This window comes from Homo sapiens, chromosome 16, assembly GCF_000001405.40.
Source record: "Homo sapiens chromosome 16, GRCh38.p14 Primary Assembly".
In the NCBI taxonomy this organism is placed as follows: Eukaryota; Metazoa; Chordata; class Mammalia; order Primates; family Hominidae; genus Homo; species Homo sapiens.
The window spans coordinates 56,176,364-56,198,505 of record NC_000016.10 but is presented as its reverse complement, the minus strand read 5'-3'; the positions used below and the strand labels follow the sequence as shown (position 1 = coordinate 56,198,505).

The 22,142-nt window shown below is 41.6% G+C and overlaps 1 protein-coding gene and 2 long non-coding RNA genes across 6 annotated transcripts in view, besides 1 other annotated feature; 2 read left to right on the top strand and 1 right to left on the bottom strand.

Moving 5' to 3' along the window:
• GNAO1 (G protein subunit alpha o1) overlaps positions 1-7,017 on the bottom strand; it is a 165,956-nt gene extending 158,939 nt beyond the window's left edge. For 3 of the 4 annotated variants that reach the window (XR_007064866.1, NM_020988.3, NM_138736.3), the window contains exons 1-2: positions 6,153-7,017; positions 5,890-5,932 (exon numbers count right to left, since the gene is read on the bottom strand). Coding sequence is in view for 2 of the 4 variants with exons in the window: in NM_020988.3 (NP_066268.1) it covers positions 5,890-5,932; positions 6,153-6,270 (161 nt within the window). In the remaining 2 variants the exon portion in view is untranslated. Of the gene's footprint in view, positions 1-5,889; positions 5,952-6,152 lie in introns of those variants that run through there. The other variant, XM_011523003.4, reaches the window with a different exon arrangement.
• Positions 3,981-5,889, top strand: GNAO1-AS1 (GNAO1 antisense RNA 1). The gene has a single exon (NR_026889.1). It is a non-coding gene; the product is annotated as a GNAO1 antisense RNA 1 (long non-coding RNA).
• Positions 5,811-6,384: an enhancer, noted in NCBI's record as "H3K4me1 hESC enhancer chr16:56226034-56226607 (GRCh37/hg19 assembly coordinates)". NCBI's record gives its function as "activates a minimal SCP1, AML or CMV promoter by ChIP-STARR-seq in primed H9 embryonic stem cells {active_cell/tissue: H9 hESC(primed)}" and the evidence as "EXISTENCE:reporter gene assay evidence [ECO:0000049][PMID:30033119]".
• Positions 7,412-22,142, top strand: part of GNAO1-DT (GNAO1 divergent transcript) — a 98,108-nt gene continuing 83,377 nt past the window's right edge. The window contains exons 1-2 of the long non-coding RNA NR_027078.2: positions 7,412-9,004; positions 10,806-10,903. This is a non-coding gene — a long non-coding RNA (GNAO1 divergent transcript). The remainder of the gene's footprint in view (positions 9,005-10,805; positions 10,904-22,142) is intronic.

The window sequence follows — 22,142 nt, the reverse complement described above, 5'->3', positions numbered from 1 at the left end:
AGAGTCTATGCTCTTAACCAACTCTCAATTTTAGAGAAGCATGCTAAACTGCTTCTCTAAACACAAGAAACTACCTATTTATCTGAACCAGTTAACAAGCCACTGCTCTCTCCTCTCCTTCCCCTCAGTGCTAATCACAGATCTGTTGGACAGCTTCCTTTCTACCAATGCTGTGTGTGAATGAGAGGGATGGAAGAAAATAAGAATGTGACACAGATTTGAAGAAATTCTTAGGATGGAGTTCATTTGAGCATCTTCAAGCTTTTTAAGATGATGCAATCAGTAAGAAAGTGAGGTGAGTGCTCTTCTCAACATCTGCCATTTGTAAACCCACACTCTGTGGGTATGTACAAACAGGCACACTTTCTTTTTTCAGAATCAAAAGTTTTCTCTATTAGTGTCAATTCTGAGGGTAACTCTTTCCAAAATGTGGTTTTTTTTGTTTTGTTTTGTTTTTTTCAGTTTGGAATCACCCCTTCACCAGCTTTTCTGTTGTCTTTCAGATCAAGATGTATTCTGGTGATAATGGCCTGTCTGGCTCCATAAGAAATGAGAATGAAAACACCCTAGGAGACAGGGAGTCAAGTCCCAGTATCCAGATGGGCTGAGCACATATCGGAAAAATAGGGCCTCATTCTACTCATATTAAATCTCCAGTGTTAACGGAGATAGGGTATTGTGAGCAGCTGAAAAACATGAGTGATCTTGTCCTATCTTTAGCAGATGTGGCATGTGAAGAAGCACAAAATAATCTGCGAGTTCCATGTGTTAAAAGAAACAAGACACACTCCCACTCTGAGCATCGTAAATCTAATCCAGCCCTGTTCACACATAGAACAGACGTTCTGCATTCTTTTCCAGCCATGTTGGTTCTCATGAAGCTTCACCCATTTAATCTAACTGGCAACAACCCTTTTCAACAAGCATATAGGTTCTACTTTAGAATCCAATAGGTAACCCAGGCTCAAGAATTCCACAGCTGACTCCTGAGGAGATCGGGTGGACTATTTGCCACTCTTCTGGCAGGAAGGTCTGCTGGTATTTACAGCTCAGTGCACAGTAAGGAGGGAGAGAGCACCATCCATCAGGAAAAGAGAACTCATCTGCTACTTGATCTGACATTCCGTTCGCACTCTTGCTGTCTCCAGAGAGCAAGGTGCATCCATTTGAATAAACATAGAGAGGGACGAAGGGAGGGAGGCAAAGCAGCCATTGAGATGACTGCAGAAATAACAAGTCTACAAATCTAGAAGAGTGGCTCTCAGTAGAATACTAACCCAACGTGCGACCCTGGGGGCCAGTGTGGGAAATGTCCTTTTAGACGGACGCACTTTCATGGAGTAATGGCTGTAGGTTGCTATTCACCTCCATTAATGCCTGTCATTTAGTAGGTGCTGAAGAGCATTGTGCTGAAAGAATGCAAGCTTGACTGCTTCTCAGCCTTTTGGCTAAGATCAAGTGAAGACTGCAAGCTTGCCCTGAACCCATACCAAACAGTAGATACCCTAATTACAAAGTCAGGGTCAGCTGGGAGGAAAAAGCCATCAGCTTTTTGGTGACAGGTGACCTTTTAAGACAGCCTTTCCTGACAGGGTAGGGTCTGTTCTCTGAATCACATCCCACTTGTCAGGCTGGAATATTTGTATGAGCAATGACATCTTCATCAGGCAAATTCTTAAATTTGTTTTAAAATGGCACTAAGCAGGTACTGTGGGAATGGACGCACAACCAAAGTGCTCGATTTTATTGTGCCCATTTCGGTAAAGACTACCAGCTAGCATGCAATGCCTCATGGCCACCTTCGAACTCCCTTTCTAAAAATTCCACTTAATGCTCCAGAGACAGATAGCCTGAACTCAACATTACAGAAAATTCAGCACCTCGAATGAGGGCAAACTGTGGCTCCCAGAGCAATTCCGCAGTCCATTTTACATTTTCACCAGGTACATGGTCCAAGTGGGTGTCACTATTTGTTCAGAACTGGGAAGTCACTTAAAGTGATATTCTGTCAATTCTACACCTCATAAAATTACAACTTGTTATGGGATTTCTTTGTAAGGGTTTGGCAATTAAATAAAATTGACAATTCTTTAAAAATTTTCTGATTAGTCTGAATAACTCAGAGTCTTATTGACTGACTACAAAATGATGAGGCTGTATCACAGGTGAGGTCACAACCCCCTAACAAGCAAAATTATTTAAAATGCCATGCAAAAAAAGAGTCACTGATTACTCACACATGGTATGTATAAAATTATATTTGTGCTGTCTCAATTATCACTGTTTATTTCTCAGTACTGAAATATTTTGGATTGTCTGACACAGAGCTCCCTCACACGAATTCACAATCACACACACAAGGGGGGGGGAACCCAAAACACTATGTTCAAATAAAAATTTTAATATAAGTACTGAGAATCAGGCTTTTCAAATGACACTCTAAACTGGTATCTCTTAAGCAGATGCACGTTTCCCCTTACAACACTTATCAAGCAGAAGAACTTTATGTCAGTATCTCTGCAATGTTCCTAGGCTGATGAAGATGTTAACCCTTTGTTCTAAACAGCAATTGCCAGCCGGTCCTTTATTATTTCACTTCAGTTACTATGGAAATATATGGAAGCCAGTTTCTTCAAATTAGCACACCACAACAAGGATGAGAACACAGGCTCAATGGAATGACTCTTTGCTCTTCTGGAAATGCTAAATAAAAGGAGTTTTATTCAGTGATGTCTGAATATCCACATTCTTCCTCTCAATCCAATGTGCTGAGCTATTAGACTGCAGCCCCCCATTAGGAAATCACTGGGTTATCACAGGGTGTAACCTAAAGAGGGCTTTCTGCTGAATTTCATCTGTCCAGGTGAAACAACACAGCTTCCTAATTAACCTGTACATATGGCCTGATAGGTTGGTCACCAATTGTATTGCACAAGGAAGTTGGAAACTGCTTTCTATAAATGCCACCTAGATTTTCGGGCCTGGCCCCATCCACAGTAGAATTCTCCTGACTCAAAGTGACTCTCAGTCAAGTGGCCATCTCAAAAACCATCTCTGCAAGGGAGGACTCAAAAAAATTTGTTACTAGGATACAGTGACACCAATCCCACATTTTGTGGTTAACAAAACAAGTCCTGCATTCAGCTTGGCACAAGGCCCTGATCTGATGTATTTCAAGCCAAGCTGGAAGGCTCACAGGGAAAACTGCCATTCATGAATGCTTCAGGAGGACAGGACGCCAGGGTCCCTTGTGGCAAACCAGGAACCAGAAACTTTTGTGATGGACCTTTTGAACAGACCTACCCTACTTCCTAAAGAGAGTTGGTGTATTGTGCTTTAAAAAAAAAATTGTTTTACCTACAAAATCTGTTTTCCTGACATTTTTCTTGAAAAAGGTGTCCTGTAAGGTTGGAAAAAAAAAAAAAAAAAAAGGAGAAGTAAAGGGAAAGAGAAGAAATGCTCTGATTTCTGATTTAACAATCTCAAACATCACTCACTTCATTTTCCCCCCTCCTCGGTGTAACCAAATACAAGACACAGAGGACTTTCCTGGGGAAGTCTACATCCAGCCTTCATTTAAGATTTCCTGCCCAGTACATAATTAGGAATTTTCATCCTAAAGTGGCACACCTATTTCCTCAGAGAGCTCAGCTCTCTTTGAATAAAAAAAGGCGAGGCACCCCTTTGGGGGATTCAGTATATATTTTTAAACTTCTCATTAAATCAACCTAATTTATGGGGCATGTTCAGGAAAAGCAGTTGCTTTGGCGGATGCAAAGTTAATTTGCAGACTCTGGCCTCTCCCCCTCCTCCTTCCCCTCCTGCGCACTCCCCTCCCCCGAGTATTTCCGAATGCTTTCGACCCCCTCCGAAGCGGCTCGGCTCTCTCCGCCGGAGCACCGACTCGGCTCCGAACACCGCCGACTCCCTCCGAGCCCCGCGCCCAGACCGCACCGAACCTAGCCGAGCGTCGCCGAACTGAGCCCCATCGACTTTTCCGGCCTCGGCTGGGCGCTGTCCACCACTTGCAACGCCTGAAACCTCATCCAGCTCAGGTGGCTGGGGCTTCTACTGGGCTCCGAGTCCGCCACTGCTGATTACAGACTTCTGAAGTTTTAAAACGTCCCCCCTCGGGAGAAAGGGGTGGCGCGGCTTGCATTTACAGATCTGCAAGGGCTCCAGACAGATGCAACATGCACCTTGTTGCAAAGGGCAATTCCCCAGGCCCCGCCTCCCCATCAATTTGGGTTGCACAAGCTCAAGAGAAGCCCCAAGCTAAATTACCCCTGGCTCAGAAGGGTGCGGCGAGCCAAGGGGGGCTCTGCGAAGAAAGCCCCAGGGAGCTCTCGAATAAAAATAAGAACATGTCAAGCAGATGGGAAAATTGTCTCCGAGTCGCTACTCCCTACCATCATGGCGCCGCCTAGAACCCGCTTGTCATGCCTGTTACACATCCAAGATTTTTTGCATCTTGGTTCTGAAACCGCAAGCATGCTTCGTCTCCCACTCCCACCTTCCCACGAAAGGGGTTTTTATTTTCCATTGTTTCCCTACGCGATGCAATTATTTCGGCTATTGTGTCAAGTTGAAAAATAATCATTTTTGTTTACTGCACAGCAACCCCTAATTAGGAGCTGTGTGTGCACGAAGGTGTCACAGCAAAGCGACGTGGAATCTTCGCTAAACGGTCTAAACGAACTCCTCCGTCTCGAACTGACAGGCCAACCGAAACAGGAGGCCCGGAGGGCGCACACCCCTTCGCTGCCGGCCACCCCCTCCCCAAGCAAACCTGCCTGTGGGATCACCAGGAACTGCCGAGTGGATAGGGCAAGAAGCGAGCCTGCAAGTGGAAAGGAGGGGCGAGGCTCCTTATTGAGAAAGTGTGGAAGGGAAGGAATATCCCATTTTGTTTTAATTTTCAACCATCACTCAAATCCACCCCCAGTTAATTAGGAGGGGAAACTGATAGCTAAGGCAGAAGGGGGCGGCGGCAAGTGGGGCCTGAAATCCGCATTGTGGGTAGATTACATGGAACACGGCCTATGCAGAGTGTAAATAAATACACTGATAAAGGCCACGGAGCGAACGAAAACTGCGGGTGTCAGGAGAGCAATGCTGGGAGGGTGGGGGAGGAGAGGAGCTGGGGGCAGCAAGGGGCGGACATTCAGCCTCACAGGCAGCTTCCCTCCCCCTTCCACCTCTACCTTGGATAAAACTGTGCCCGTCACCTACGTTTGGAAACCCACTCCTTCCCCTAGCACACGACCCCTCCCCTAACCCTGGCCCTCTTTTTTTGCGGGGGAGGGGGTGCGAGGGGATGTAGAAACCACAGCCTCCAATTCAGCACCAAACGCATGAACAGCAGACACTTGATCCTCCACCCCAGTCTAGGGCTGGGTCCCCTCCATGTTAGCCAAGTTCAAAATCACTGCCCCAGGAAAAGAGCAGGGGGAAGTGGGATTACGGACCTTGGGGGATAGGGAGGTATGGAGGGAAGAGGAGAAAGAAATAGAGACAGAATGAAACAGAGACACAGACAGAAATGGAGGCAGTGAGACACAGAAAATATTCCACAAGCAAGAGTAATGATCATAATCATGCCAATAGTGTGATGTTCTGATCAATATGGCGGACACTGTCATTCATACAACTACAGGCGCTCCCCTTCCCCCTCCCAAAAAACACCCACCCAGGAGTTAGGGTGGAGGACCCAGAACCAACGTAGGGAGTGGGGGAGGGGAGTCAAATATAGGGGTGTGTGTGTGTGTGTGTGTGTGTGCACGAATTAAAAAACAGGCCTGGAGAGCAATGTGGAGTAAGCAATGTAATAAAAACGATTTAAAAATTATTCTTAATAAAAGTACGAATCCCAATGCCACAGGGACTTACTTCATCTGCTTCACAATGGTGCTTTTTCCTGATTCTCCAGCCCCTGTTGGGACACAGACAGTGGGGAAAAACTGGTGAGTGTCAGCTTAAGGGAACAGGGGGAGGGGGGGACTAAGGCATGCGAGGGGGTGGGCGATCCTGGGCACATGGTGGTGCCAACTTGGGGACCAGGTCTCCCGGGCGCGAGTGGGGTGGGGGAGCTGGTGGCAGGGGGTGCGGAGTGGCCGGGGTCGGGGGATGGGGGTAGCAGCGGCGGTCCTTACCGAGCAGGAGTAATTTCACGTCTTTGGCGGCGCTGATGCCATCCTCTTTGAGGTTTTTCTCAATCGCCTTGCTCCGCTCGAGGGCGGCTCTCTCCTCTGCGCTCAGAGTACATCCCATGGTGGCCCCTTCCCTGCCACAGCCCGCACGACTCGGCTGGCACGGCTCCCCGGCTTGGAGCGCCCCCCACCCCCCCAGAGAGCAGAGCCTGGGCTCAAGGGGGGAAAATCACGATATCCTCTCCTGGGCTGGAAACAAAAATGTCGGGAAACCAGAACCCTCCAAAAAGACAGCCGCTAACAAGATTCCAGCAGCGGAGACTCGCGGCAGCTGGCAGGGGTCTGGGGTTGTCGAATCGAGGGTGGCCGGGGTCTGGGGCTCCGGAGCCAAGGGAGGAGGCGCCCGCGGGCCGAGGAGGCGCGGACTGCAGGCACTGAGGCTTGTGCACGACCCAAAATAAATAAAATAATAGTCGAGGCTGGAGCCGCAGCCGGAGCCGACAGAGGGTGGGGTGGGGGGCAGGGTGGGTCCTGCTGCCGCGGCTGCCGGAGGAGGAGGAGGCGGCGGCGGCGGAGGAGGAGGTGGAGGAGGCGGCGGCGGCGGCGCGGGATGTGGAGGGAGTGAGTTAGGGGGTGCTGCTAGTGCATGTGCATCGCCGCTCTTCAGCCGTCGGTGCGTCCGCGGCGCCTTCGCCGACCCCCGCGCGCTGGGCAGGGTTGGGCAGGGGGCCGGGCCGAGGGGCAGGTCTCTAGCGGGAGGCGGCGTCGCTGTCTCCCAGAGCTCGCATCGCTCGGTGAGCCTACCGGAGAGAGAGGGAGAGCGCCAGGGAGCCGCAGCCAGCCGGGAGCTCGAGGGAGAGGGAGAGAGAGAGAGGCAGGGAGGGAGGGGAAAAAAAAAATGGGAGAGCGAACAAGCGCGCGCGCGCCTGGGCCCGGGGCGGGGAGGAGGCCAGCGCAGCGCGCGAGTGCGCCAGCGGCTCTGCGCACCCGGCTCCGCGGGCCGCCAGCTGACGTCAGCAGGGCCGCGCGCCGGGCCCCCGGGACGGGGAGGGCGCGGGGCGGGGGAGGCGCGCGCCGGAGTTCGCGTCAGCCGGCGGCGGCGCGCACACGCGCTCGCGGAGCGGCCTGCCCCTCCCCCCAGCGCCCTCCCGGCCCGCGGCTCCCCCGGGGTGGGTGCTTGCGGGACTGGCGGGGGCGGGGAGTGGGGCCGGGCGCGCGCCGGGGCGCCCCACCCCGCCTCCGCCCCCGCCCCACGCGCCGGCGGCGCGGACCTCCTTGTCAATGGGAGCGCGGGGCCGGGCTGCCCGCAGGACGGTCAGGTGGGCCCCCCAGCTCGCTGCCAGCGCGGCCTCTGTCCCTCTCGGGCCGGCTCTCCATCTTGTCGCCCGTAGCCCGCCTTCTCCGTGGCTCTCCAGCCGCTGGGGCCGCAGAGCCGAGGCCGGGTTACCTCAGGAAACGCGATGTGGTAGTGGGTCGGAATAAACCCGCGCGCCCCAGAATTCGCCTTGGGGGCGTAAGGACAGATTCGGACTTTTCGTTTCCTATGTCCACATTTATTGAGCACCTAATATGTGACACCCGAGGCTGTAAGAAGAGGAACGCAGCGGGCGGAGAAAAGCCAGAGCTTTTTCTCTGTGAGCCGCTGCCTCCAGGGCCATAGCCGACCCTGCTCCGAGATCCCAGCCGCCGCTCTCCGTGCAGGAGGGGTGCCCACCCTGGGGAGGCCAGGGTGCCCGGAGTGGAGGGACAGGGCTTCAAGCGACCGGGAGTTTCCAGCAAACCCCTGATCCCTGAGCAGTTTATTTTAAAAGCTTTTGCAAATGTTGGACGGTTTCGTTTGGTGGAGGCCGTCTTTGCACTAAATTCTCCTGTCCTCCCCCTTCGAAACGCACAAAATGAATTTTGAACAGATTTTGGATGAGAGGTTTTCTTCCTTTTTTCATCTTCTGAAACATTTCCCCCTCATTTCTTCTCAGATAAAGACCCAGAAACCCGGGACAGTTACTCGGTGTACAGCTAGTCAAATACTGAGGAAACCAGTCGATATTTGCCAAAGATTGGGCATGTTCTGGGTGGTCTCAGATTTTGAAGAAACGACTTTTTTACTGCACAAAATAGTTTTACAATCAGTTCCATCAGACAGCCCCAGGGGCTCTCCTAGGGAAAGGGGCCAATAGGCAAGGTTGCATGGGGATAAGAGAGGCAAGCGGCCAGTGGAAAACGGTTTTTTGTTTTTTTTTTCCTAACAGTTGGGCATTTCTGTAGCTCTGAAAGCAAACTTGTTTGTTTCATTTCAACGATAGAAAAAAAACACTCCTGTTTTGGAAATGTAACCCAGCATAAAAATACATTTGCAATGGGGAAAAAGAAAGCAGTTTAGGGCCACCCAGAAGAAAATATTTTTTCCCTGATTTTTTTTTAATTTGGTATTTCCCAGTGTGGGTTTGCCTCATTTTACAAATAGCTGCCCATGTCAAGATGTGGGTATGTGATTTAAATATTTTAATTTGAATCACATTTTACATAGTCTAGGAAACTGACAAAAGAATCCTATAGAGAATTGTTTTATAAAGTGAATAACTGCTTCTCTACCTACCCGCCCCTCTCATTCTTCTTTTCTGTGCGTGTTTTTGGGGGGCTGTTATGGGATAAATCTTGTTTGGCTTAAAAATCACTAAAACGCAGCCTTTCAAATCCAAAACAGAGAGCTTAGGTACCCAACATTCTATAGAATGTATTATTTCCTCAAGAGGTTGCTAGGAACAGTTATGTAGATCTACCAGGTGCAGGGAAGCACTCCACACCCTCACCCAGGTCCTGTATCCCTGCAAGACTGCGTTGGAAAGACTGAAGAGGTAAGAATATACCGATTTAATTGCGGATTCCGGGTCACATTTCACGTTTCCATGCTCTTTCTTTGAAGTAATTTTTAATTTAAAATCTTAGGCTCTTGGATTATTTGGGTTTGTATGGTTGAATGAAACTATCATTGACCTTAGGTATATTTATTTCTTCTTGGTATCAGACCTAGTATGATGGAGGCACAAACCTGTTTTGCGTTTTTCTTTACTCACTCTACTTATTAAGCACCTACCTACCATGTACAGGGTAACTGTTCTAGGGGCTATAGATGTTGTATTTCAGGTTTGTCTACTCAGTTTTCTTTTTCTGGGTCACTTTGCATCTTTATCGCTGGGCTTCGTAAAAGACTAATAATAATCCGCTTCATCTGTATAGTGCTTTACAGCTTACAGAGCACTTTTACAAAAATTGTCTCATGTGATCCTCCCACATAAACCTCAGTTAAGCACATGGCGTGGGAAGCATCATGGCTGAGTGCAAAGAACCTGGACCATGAATACAGATCAACCTGAGTACCCATTTTATAGCTGAAGAAGCTGAGCCACTGTTTAGGGTCACGAACAGTTATTCTCCTTACTACTACCTGTAAGTAGTAAGCCAGTGCTCCTTTCACATGTTTGTGGACTATCTGAGAAACTGCATGCTATATGCACATATAAAGTGTGCTTCCCAGACTTACAGAAAGCATACAACCCCAGAACCCACTCATATTCAGGTTCCCCCAAAGGACGTGAGGATAAGAATCTCTCAGTTCTCTGTGAATTATTAGTAATTAGATAATACCACGTGTTTAATTGTTCACAATTAATTCCTGTGGGAATGAGGAAATTACTATCCTAACATCAGCAGTGGGAGATGCTTAGACCAAGGACAGATTCTATTTGGTTTTATTTTATATGATCCTCAGAATTTTATTTCTCAGATTATTGTTGATGTCCAGAGAATAACTCTCCCTCCAACCTCAGCCATTCCCTTTGCTACACACATACATCATTCAGTATATTTTTAATTTTATAAGTAGGTAATCAGAGTATTTTATATACTCTCTAAAAGAAACAACGGCAAAGCCCTTTACTGCATGTGGCTCCTGGATCTGGAGGGCAATTCATTATATCAATAAGATTCCCCAGCTCTGACTTACAGAATGTGGGCTCTGATTAGGTAAACTGACTTCCCCTGTTTGTTCCCTTTTATACTTTAATTAAATATAAAATTACTTTAATTATTTAAATATGTATGCATTGGCAGTCTACTGTGTTTAATATATTGATTTAGACATGAAGACAGGTTGGGATGTCATGAGCTTGGAATCTTGAAATCTTGAAAATTCTGGAATGTTTTCTCAAAACAATTTACATTAGAATTAGCTGGGGTGCTTGTTAAAAATTCAGTTATCCATCTTACTTTTACCAACTCAGATTCTTCAGCCATTTGCATTGATAGCCACTCCCCAGGTGATTTTTCTGTGTACAGAGTTTGGTCTTGTGCAGAATCTGTATGTGCCAGTTAATTCTGTTAAGAGCTTACTTTCTTAAAGCCCAGATACCTCAAATGTTTCTAAATTCAACATTTTTTTATGTTTAGTAGTTTTTTTGTATTTCTGTGAAAGGGAAAAAAACTATGAAAATTGCTTATGAATACTACTCTCACGGGAAGAAAATAGGCTAAAATATGTGGTTCATAACCTAAATGAAACTAAATATCCAGTGAATTAGTCATTTTATTATTATTATTATTATTATTATTATTATTATTATTATTATTTTTGAGACGGAATCTCACTCTGTTGCCCAGGCTGGAGTGCAGTGGCGCAATCTTGGCTCACAGGAACCTCCGCCTCCCAGGTTCAAGAGATTCTCATGCCTCAGCCTCGCGAGTAGCTGGAATTACAGGTGAGCGCCCATGCCCAGCTACTTTTTTTTGTATTTTTAGTAGAGACAGGGTTTCACCATGTTGGCCAGGCTGGTCTCCAACTCCTGACCTCAAGTGATCTGCCAGCCTCGGCTTCCCAAAGTGCTGGGATTACAGGTGTGAGCCCATGCACGCAGTGAATTAGGCATTTTAGGGAGAATGGTAGGTCACTAGAAATTTTGGGTTTCTGCACTAAGTGTTTCTGTTATAAAATTGATAACTCACAATCCAACTTAGTGGTGAATATGATTTAGAAGAATGTCTGGTTTTGGCTAAGAGATGACTTTTCTTTTTTTTCCAGTTTGTATCTGGCATTAATGAGGGAAGGTGCTGATCAATTTTTTTATGTCCCTAAAAGATGAGTCTTCTATTCAGCATTTCCCTAACTCATACTTGTGCACATCTCTCAGACCTACCAGAGTGGTGGTTCTCAAATGTTGTGCACAAGAATTACCCAAGATGCTTTTTAAAGAGCAGATTTCTGGGTTTAATCCCTAGAATTTCTGAATCAGTAAGTTTGAGGCTAAGCTTAGGAATCTTCATTTTTACATTCATACCTTCTCCCTAAGTACTCAGGTACTTTGGGAAAACATTAGTAAACTGTAAACTCCTTTTAGGGGACAGAGTTGTCTTATTACTTTGTATATATCCCCAAAGGTCAAGGATGGCCCACTGCCCATAAGTCATCAGTTTCAATATTTGTTAACTAAACAAGGGCTGATTTAGCAAGGGCTAAATCAGACAATGTGACAAAGCTCTTCCCACCTCTGAGACTTTTTTATTTTTGTGGTAGAATTTTTTTTACTTGATTATTCTAGAAAATGCTTAGGATTGGATGAGTTCAAAAAGGTAATGGCTTGTCTTCAAGTAAGGCTCTGAAAAATGAAATGATACAGATTTTAAACAAACAAATGGGAGATTTATAGGCCTATGCCAGCTTGTGAGAAGAGTGTTTGCCAGGTGTTTTTGACATTCCCGTCAGAAAATTTTTTGCTCAATTTTGTGTCCCATTTTGTTATTTTGTAGAATTCATGAAAAATTAGTTTTCTTATTTATAATTTTAGGGATAAGAGATGTCATAAGAAGAAATAAAGGTTTTGTGTACTTTTAAGTGAAGGGATTTTCATGAAGGAGCAGATTAAGGTTTATAGGTAATTGAATTGAGCTCTTAAGTTATTGAAGTCCATTATGTGGTCACTGTTGACAACATAATTTGTTGAGTGTTCTTTGATGGTTGAAGAACCCCAAAGAGGGTGTGCTTTGTGATTTTTTTTTTCAATTTAGGATAGCTAGAGAATCCCACAGGGATGCCTTTGGCTTGAATAGAGTGAAAAGTTGGAGGGGGCCAAGACTAGTGCTTTCACATTGACAATAAAATGGACCAAGAGCTGAAATTGAAGTCAGAAGCTTGGCTTAATATGAAAGCGTTACCTAAAGTCATGGATTCCAATTGGAATTTTCTTGGAAAACTTTTCATTAGAAACTAAGATTCTTATTTGTTTTGATGGGAGTAATAGTCCTTTTCAACCTACCTGGGCTGGAGTTGACAGAAAAGATTAGCAGGAACATATTTGTAAAATATTTATTTAATACTTATTATATCCTCCAGAAGACAGGAGCTTTCCTGACACAAAGGTTAGTTGCATTATTTATCATGTTTTCTATCTCCATAGAGTCTTTCACACATGCAGCTCAAACACATTTTAGACATTATCTCATTAGTCTTCTGTAAGCTTCAAGGTCCAAAGTTTTATTACTGCATTGCTTTTTACAGATAGAACTGTTTTTGTTTGTTCCTGTCAGTTATATTTGTGAAAGCAAAAAGTAGGTGAATTTTATGTGAATCCAGTTAAAACCAATTGAATTGGCTATAACAAGTGTAACTGAGGGAGGAGAGGCTATCAATTAGTTCAAATTTAGAAGTACATTGAGAGTGTTTGGCCAGACTAGACTGAATTAATTTTGTGACTTGTCTGCATTCTCTAAAGTACATGTGGTTTGAGGTGTTCCCAAAGTCTGCCAAGTACCAAGATTGAGGCGTTCCAGTCGGGTAACATGGTTCTTTAGTTGAGCTGACATTTAGGTGTGTTATCTATTCTCCAAAGGCCTGCAAAACCCTGACCTCTGTGGCAAAGAAAAACATTTTTATGAAATTCCTGTGTGTGTGATGGAGCACATCTATAAAACTAAAAAAGGACAACTCAGTGAGAGATACATTTTCAACCAGGCACCTATCCCATAGGACTTTTACCTAGAGTCATTTTAGTTGAAGTAAAAAGAAATGAACTATACTGATTTTCCTCTCAAGTAGTCCCTGAAGTCCACTGTCTCTCCCCCTGGCCATTGTAGTCTTTGGAGAGGGCTAAGAGGAAAGAACTCTGAATTAGTTACATCCAATATAAATGAAAAACAGCACTGTTTCTAATAACTACAGAGAGGACATATACAGGTCTTAATAAAAACACTGAAAGCAATGGCTTAACCATGACTCTGAAATTAATGAGGTCAATGCCCAAAGGCAATCTTAAAAAGAAAAATCAATGGTGGGATTGAGAGGTGGGGTGAATGAGGCAATGAAAGAAAAAGGGTAGGTTTAGAGACTGGTCACTTTGATCATTCTTTTTTTTGATTCTGTAACCTCTGCTTCTGTTCTAGGAAGGAAGTGATACCAATCATTTTGTTCCTTTTCTTGCCTCCCCCGCCTCTGCTCTATTCATGTACTTGGCTTTATCCCCCCATAAACATTTCCACAGCAAGAAATAGTGATAAGAATGATATTTTTTCCTATAATTATCTTCATTTATTTAATTCATGAATGTCTTCCATATTTATTGTATGCTTACCATGTGCCAGACACTATGTTAGATGTTGGGAATATACTGTTGAATACAACGCACATGGTCCTCTGCCATCATGCAGAGGCATATGGTCTCAGATTTTTGAATTGTAATAATCTCTCATATATTATTTAATTCAATCCTTATAACAGCTACTTGAAATAGCCAGGATTTCTGTTTTCCATTGCATGCATAATGAAATTAAGCTTAGAGAAGTCCAAGTGATTTACCTAAGATCACATAGCTCATAAATTGAGTAATCAGGATGGACACCTTAATTTTCTGAATTCCAAGACAGTGTTCTTTCTGCCACATCATGCCACTTCCCGAAGATCCAAGGTTCATCTCAGTTGCTTTTTTAAATAGCACAGGCACCAATTATGCTATTCATATTTTAGTGGGTTTTTACTTTACTCAGTAATCCTTCTCCTACTTTGTTGGATATTGTTGATCATCATAATGAACTTTACTCAGGAATTTACAATCCCATGATATCTATTCCAATAAATCATTCCTAGCTCTTAAAAGTAGAATAGATTATCTTTGTAGTGTATATTTATCAGAATATTCTCCATGTTTTGCAGCATCTGCTCCCTCAAAGGTGAAAACCAGAAATTGGCAGTAGATGATATGCAACTATTAAATATAATGTGAAGCTTTAGTCTCAATAGGTTTGGACAAATAATAAATGAAAGTAATTTTCAAAACTGAAGGGAAGTAATACCAAGAAAGTCAGCAGAGTGAAAAGAACACTGGATAGAATGAAGAGACAAGACTCTTAGTCTCTGGCCAACTTTGGGAGACTTAATTCACTTTCCAGGCCTCAGTTTCCTCAATCAAGAAATTGGATTTTAGGCATCTTTTATCCGTAATTCTAAATCCGAGTTGCGAGGACAGAGAACCTGGAGGACTGACACTGGGAAGATTACAGAAGGCAGAGCTCCAGAGGGCAAAGCAAGAAAATGTTACAAATCTATTTATTCAGTCCTTGAATCTGAGTATATCTGTTCCACTATCAAAATGGTTCCCTTTACTTTTTTCTTCCCTTTAAGTCAAGCATGAATTTTTCATATTTCGTATAGTGTTTGCTTTAGAAATATAACACCTTGTAAACGTAACAAGCCAATAGTATGAAAAGACTATGGATTGACTTTGATTTTCCCACTTAGAAGTGACACCACTCCTAGATATACTGGAATATTTTTTTAGCCCGTCATGAAAGGTTTCTGCAGATAGCCCTGTATCCTTTTCAGCACAGCAGGCAGATAATGGCTCCTAATCATCACCCAATTGATTTTGACAATATTTCTTTGTGGGTGAATAGGATGAGTGGGGAACATCCCAGGGGGCTGGGAAAGTATAGCTAAGGGAGTCACATAAATCCAGGAGTGAGACAGCCAGTGGTAACTAAAGGGGCAGATGAGCTTAAGAAGGGGTTTACCTTTTCTCACAGCCTCCACTAGATCTTTGCAGTCCTGCCTTTCTTGTGATTTTCTCTGGTATGGCTCTAACAGTTCTCCTGATTCTTCACTTACTTCCTACCAGTCACTCAGTTAGCAAATATTAGTTGCTATTACTTGTTGAAAGGGTGTCATTGAGGGGATGGAGGAATTCAGCATGATGCTTTCATAACCTTAGAGATACTAGTGGCTATGAGCATGAAGGAACCAAGGATTTATGAATTTATCCAATTGTAAGTTAAAAATTAAGTTTTTTAGAAATCGGTAGAGAGAATATCGGAACTCCAATCAAATAACATCGAAGAATACATCTTTGCTCTTCACTGAAAGTCTGGTTCATGGGCCTGGCGTGGTGGCTTATGCCTGTAATCCCAGCAATTTGGGAGGCCAAGGCAGGTGGATCACCTGAGGTCAGGAGTTCGAGACCAGCCTGGACAACATGGTGAAACCCCGTCTCTACTAAAAAAAATACAAAAAAAAAAAAAAAATTTGCCGGACGTGGTGGCAGGCGCCTGTAATCCCAGCTACTCCAGAGGCTGAGGCAGAAGAATTGCTTGAACCTGGGAGGCAGAGGTTGCAGTGAGCCGAGATCGCGCCATTGCACTCCAGCCTGGTGACAAGAGCAAGACTTCATCTCAAGAAAAAAAAAAAAAGTCTGGTTCGTGAATGTATATTTATATGTTTTAGGTTAAAACAAAATGCTTAATGTATGTATATAAAAAACTTAAAAATTTTTTTTTCTTTTCCTTTTTTTTTTTTTGAGTCAGGGTCTCACTCTGCTGTCCAGGCTGGAGAGCAGTGGTGCGATCTTGCCTCTCTGCAACCTCCAACTTCTGGGCTCAAGTGATCCTCCCGCCTCAGCCCCCCAAAGATCTGCAGAGAATCTTTTGAGTATTCCAATTAATAATTGGCACATGCATATGAGGAAACTGTTAAAGACTGGGGAAATAACCATCAAAGAGAGTTAGGGGGAACAGTGACAGCACTTACACAGGTCTAATAATAGTGCCTATTTATGTCAGCCAGACCCGAACATCTCCTAATTTATAAAGTATTGGAGAGAGTGCTCAAAAGGGTCTTGCTACAGTAGTGGGGAATAATTAGTTCTAGACTAAATGTTATTATACATTGGTCTTGCCTCACAAGCAAGATTCAAAATGATCAAATTATTTCCAAGGAATTTAACCATGTCCTGAAACAAAACCCAAGAATATTTTTTAAAAATATGAAAATATCCAGCAGCCAAAAAGGCAACATTCATAGTGACTGGATCCAAATAAATATTTCTGGGCATGCAGAAAACCAAGAAAATCTGACCCACATTAAGAAAGGTAATCCATCCATCTAAAAACTGATGCAGATGTTGGAATTAGAAGACAAAGATATTAGAAGTTATAACTGCATTATATCTGTGAGTAGAGACTTCAAATATATTTTTTAAAAGAGGCCCAAATTAAATATCTAGAGATAAAAACTGTAATATCTGAGATAAAAAATAAACTAGCTGGGGTCAATAGCACATTAGATATTAAAGAAAAAAAGATTAATGACCCTGATGGCATAGAAATACAAACTATCCAGAATGAATACACAGAGAAAAAAGAAAATTTTAAATTAGGCAGACATAAATTATACCAGTAATTACATTAAATGTAAATGGATTAAATATGCAAAGTAAAAGGCAGAGATTTGCAGAATGTATTAAAAAATAATACAACTATAAGCTGTCTACAAGAGCACACTTTAGATTCAGAGATACAAATCTGTTGAAACTAGAAGGATGAGGAAAAAAGAACCATGCAAACAGTAACCAAAAGAGGTAAGGGAGCTATACTAATATCAGACAAAACACAAATTGTTTTGTGTTTTGAGACACAAATTGTTACTAAAGACAAAGAGGGACATTTTATAATGATAAAAGGAAGATATAACAGTTGGACATATAATAATTGTAAACGTATATGCACATAACAACAGAGTCCCAAGATATATGAAGCAAAAACTGACAGAATTGAAGGGAAAAATAATTCAATAATAATAGACTTCTGTATCCCACTCTCAATCATGGATAGCATAACTATATAGGAGATTAAAAAGGAAATAGAAAACTTGAACAATATATAAGTCAACTAGGCCTAGCGGACATCTATAGAACTCTCCACCTGACAGCAGTGGAATATACATTCTTCTCAAACTGACATGAAATACTCTCCAGGCTAGACCAATGCTAGGGCACAAAATAAGCCTCAATAAATTTAAAAGGATTGAAATCAACAAAGTGTATCTCTTACCACAATGAGATTAAATTAAAAACTAATAACAGAAGGAAATTTGGGAAATTCACAAATATATAAAAAATAACACACTCCTAAATAATCAATGGACTGAGGAAGATATGACAGGAGAAATTAGAAAATACAATGAAATAAGTGAAAATATAAATACAACATGCCAAAACCAGTAGAATTCAGCTAAAGCAGTGGCTATAAATACCTATATTAATATTATATTATATATAGCTGTAAATGCCTATATTAAATAAGAAAAAAATAGTCCATATTCTAATCTTCATCATAGAAAACTTAAAGTGAAGAGCAAACTAAGCCCAAAGTAAGCAGATGATGGAAATAATAAGATTAGAGAGGAAATAAGTGAAATACAGAATGGAAAAACAGTAGATAAAATTAATGAAACTAAAAGTTGGTTCTTCAAAACGGTCAACAAAATAGATAAACTTTTAGCTTTTCTGACCAGGGGGAAATAAAAGAGAAAATTTAAATTACTAAACCTAAAATGAAAGAGGAAACATTACTACTAACCTTAATATTAGTAAAACATTAATTGTCATTAAATGTCATGACATTACATAATTAAAACATTAAATGTCATAACATTATTATGAACTTAACATTAGTAAAACTGTAAAACTAACCTTAGCAAAATAAAAAGATTATAAATGAATAATTGAATGCCAAAAATTAGCTTAGATGAAATGAATAAACAACTAAAACTGACTCAAGAAATAAAAGATCTGAATAGACTTATAACAAATAAAGAGATTGAATTAGTAATAAAAAATTTTCCACAGAGAGAAGCTCAAACCCAAAAGGCTTCACTGGTGAATTCCTCCAAACATTCAGAGAATCAGTTGCAGATTTAATATTGTTAAGATGTCAATGCTGCTTAAAAGATCTACAGATTTGATGGAATCCCTATCAAAATCCTAATGACAATTTTTACAGAAATAGAAAAACTCATCCTAAAATTCATATGGAATCTCAAGGAACCCTGATTAGCCAAAACAATCTTGAAAAAGAACAAAGCTGAAGAATTCACACTTCCTGATTTCAAAACTTACGCCAAAGTTACAGTGACCAAAACAGTGTGGTACTGGTATCAGGACAGCCATATAGACAATGGAAGAGAAAAGGGAGCCCAAGAATAAGTCCTCATATATATGGTCAAATGATTTTTGACAAGAATGCCAAGACTATTTAATAGGGAAAAAAAATTCTTTTCAGCAAATGGTGCTGGGAAAACTGGATATTTACATGAAAAAGAATGAAGTTGGACCTTTATCTAACACCATACAAAAATTAACTCAAAACGAATCAAAGGCCTAAATTTAAGATCTAAAAATGTAAAACTCTTACAAGAAAGCAGGGCAAACCTTCATGATGTTGGATGTAACTATGTTTTCTTGGATATGACACCAAAGTCTCAGGCTACAAAACAAAAAATAGACAAATGGGATCTCTTAATTTTTTAAAAAACAATTTTAAAAAACCCAATTTTTTTAAGAAAATTGTTCATCAAAAGAATATCAACAGAGTAAAAAGGCACCCCATAAAATGGGAGAAAATATTTTCAAATCATATATCTCATAAGGCATTAATATCCAGAATATGTAGAGAACTCCTAAAACTCAACAAGAAGGCAACCTGATTAAAAATGGACAAAAGACTTAAATAGGTATTTCTTCAAAGAAGATATACAAATGGCCAATAAACACATGAAAAGATGCTCGACATCACTACTCACTGGGGATATGCAAATAAGAACTGCAGTGAAATACCACCTTCACATTCATAAAGATGGCTACTATTAAAAGAAAAACAAAATAACGAGTATTGCTGAGGTTGGGAAATAATTGGAACCTTATATACTCTTGATGGGAATGTAAAATGGTACAGCTACTGTGGAAAACAGTATGACAGTTTCATAAACAATTAAAAATAGGATTAACATATGATCCAGCAATTCAGTTTCTCAACATAGACCTAAAAGAATGGAAAGGGCCTTAAAGAGATGTTTATACACCCATGATCATAGTAGCATTGTTCACAATAGCTAAAACGTGGAAGCAACTCAAGTATCCATTGATGGATGAATGGATAAGCACAATGTGGTATATACATTGAATGGAATATTATTTAGCCTTAAACAGGAATGAAATTCTTACATATGCTACAATATGGATGAACCTTGAGGACATTATGGTAAATTAAATAAGCTAGTCACAAAAGGACAAATTATCTGATTACACTATATGAGGTAAATAGAGTAGTCAGAATCACAGAGCAAAATCACAGGGACAGAGAGGAGAATGGTGGTTGCCAGGAGCCAGGGAGAGGGGGGAATGGGCAGTGGGCAGTTATTGTTTAATGGGTATAGAGTTTCAGTGTTACAAGATGGAAAGAGATGATCTGATGGTGATGATGATTGCTCAACATTATGAATGCATTTAATACACTGAACTATACACTTAAAAATTGTTGGCCAGGTGCGGTGACTCACGCCTGTAATCCCAGCACTTTGGGAGGCCGAGACGGGTGGATCACGAGGTCAGGAGATCAAGACCATCCTGGCTAGCATGGTGAAACCCCGTCTCTACTAAAAATACGAAAAAAAAATTAGCTGGGCGTGGTGGCGGGCGCCTATAGTCCCAGCTACTCCAGAGCTGAGGCAGGAGAATGGCGTGAATCCAGGAGGTGGAGCTTGCAGTGAGCCGAGATTGCGTCACTGCACTCCAGCCTGGGCGACAGAGTGAGACTCCGTCTCAAAAAAAAAAAAAAAAAAGATAATAAATTTTATGCTATATGTATTTTACCACAATAAAAAATTGGGAAAAATCAATTTTAATCTTTCTCAAACTCTCAAAATATAGAACAGGAAGAAACACTTCCCAACTTAATCTATGTCACCAGAAAACCAAAATCAGACAATGACATCATAAGAAAACTTAAAGCCCGTATTCCTCATGAATATAGATGCAAATTTTTGAACAAAATATTAGAAAACCAAATCCAGCCATGTATAAAAGGGATACACAATGATCAAGTGGGATTTGGTCAAATGATGCAGAAAAGGCATTTCACAAAATCCAACAGTTCTTTTTCTGCATCAGTTGAAATGATCATGTGGTTTTTGTTCTTTTTTCTATTAAGATAGCATATTACATTGATTTTCAGATATTAAACCAACTTTGTATTCCTGGGATAAATCTCACTTGATCTTAGTGTATCCTTTTTATATAAGAGAGCTAGTGTCCAACATGATGACTATAGTTGGTAACAATGTATTGTATACTTGAAAATGGCTAAGATAGTAGATTTTAAGTGTGCTCATCACACTAAAAATGGGAAGTATGTGAGGTAATGCATGTTAATTAGCTTGATTTCGCCATTCCACGATATATATGTGTTTTAAAACATCATGTTGTACACCATAAATTTATATAATTTTCATCAATTTAAAAAGTAGTTAGAAAAAGAAATGCAAGACTAATACATTCAAAACTATAAAATTTGGCCAGCTGCAGTGGCTCACACCTGAATCCCAGCACTTTGGGAGGCTGAGGTGGGAGGATTGCTTGAGCCTAAGAGTTGAGACCAGCCTGAGCAACATGTTGAGACCCTGTCTCTACAAAAAAATTAAAAAATTAGCCAGGAGTGGTAGCACATGCCTATAGTACCAGCTACTTGGGAAGATTGAGGTAGGAGGACTACATGAGCCAGGGAGGTCAAGGCTAAGTGACTCCTGATCATGTCACTGCACTCCAGCCTGTGTAACAGAGAAGACCCTGCCTCAAAAACAAAAAAAAAAAACTACAAAATATTGTTGACATAAATTAAAGAGGATCCAAATAATTGGAAAGACATCTCATGTTAATGGGTTAGAAGACTTAACTAATAATGTTAAGAAAGCAATACTCCACAAGTTGATCTACAGATTCAGTGCAATTTCTATCAAATCTCAGCTGGCTTTAAAAAAATTATCAGGCTGATCTTAAAATTCATGTGAAACTGTAAGGGACTCAGAATGGACAAAACAATACTGAAAAAGAAGAACAAAGTTAAGGACTCACACTTCCTGATTTTAAAATGTACTGTGAAGCTAAAGTAATGAAGCCAGTGTAATACTGGCACAAGGAAAGCTATTTAGAGACATGTATAGATCAATGGCATGGAATTAAGAGTCCAGAAAGAAATCCTTACTTTTATGGTCAATTGATTTTTGACAAGGATATCAAGACAATCAGACAGAGAAAAAAATAGTCTAGATTCCTACATTTTAAGGAATCAATCGAACCTCTACCTCACACCAAATGCTGAAATTATTATATCTCGAAATTGATCATAGACCTAAATTTAAGAGCTAAAACTAAAAAAAAAAAAAAAATCTCATAAGAAACCATAGGAATAAATCTTCCTGTTATTGGGGCAATTGGTTTCTTAGATACAACGCAATAAGTACAAGTGACAAAAGAAAAATAGGTAAGTTGGACTTCATCAAAGTTAAAATCTTCATGCTTTAGAGGACACCATCAAGAAAGTAAAAAGACAACCCACAGATGGGAGAAATTTTTTTTACTATACTATAAGTTCTAGGGTACATGTGCACAACGTGCAGGTTTGTTACAT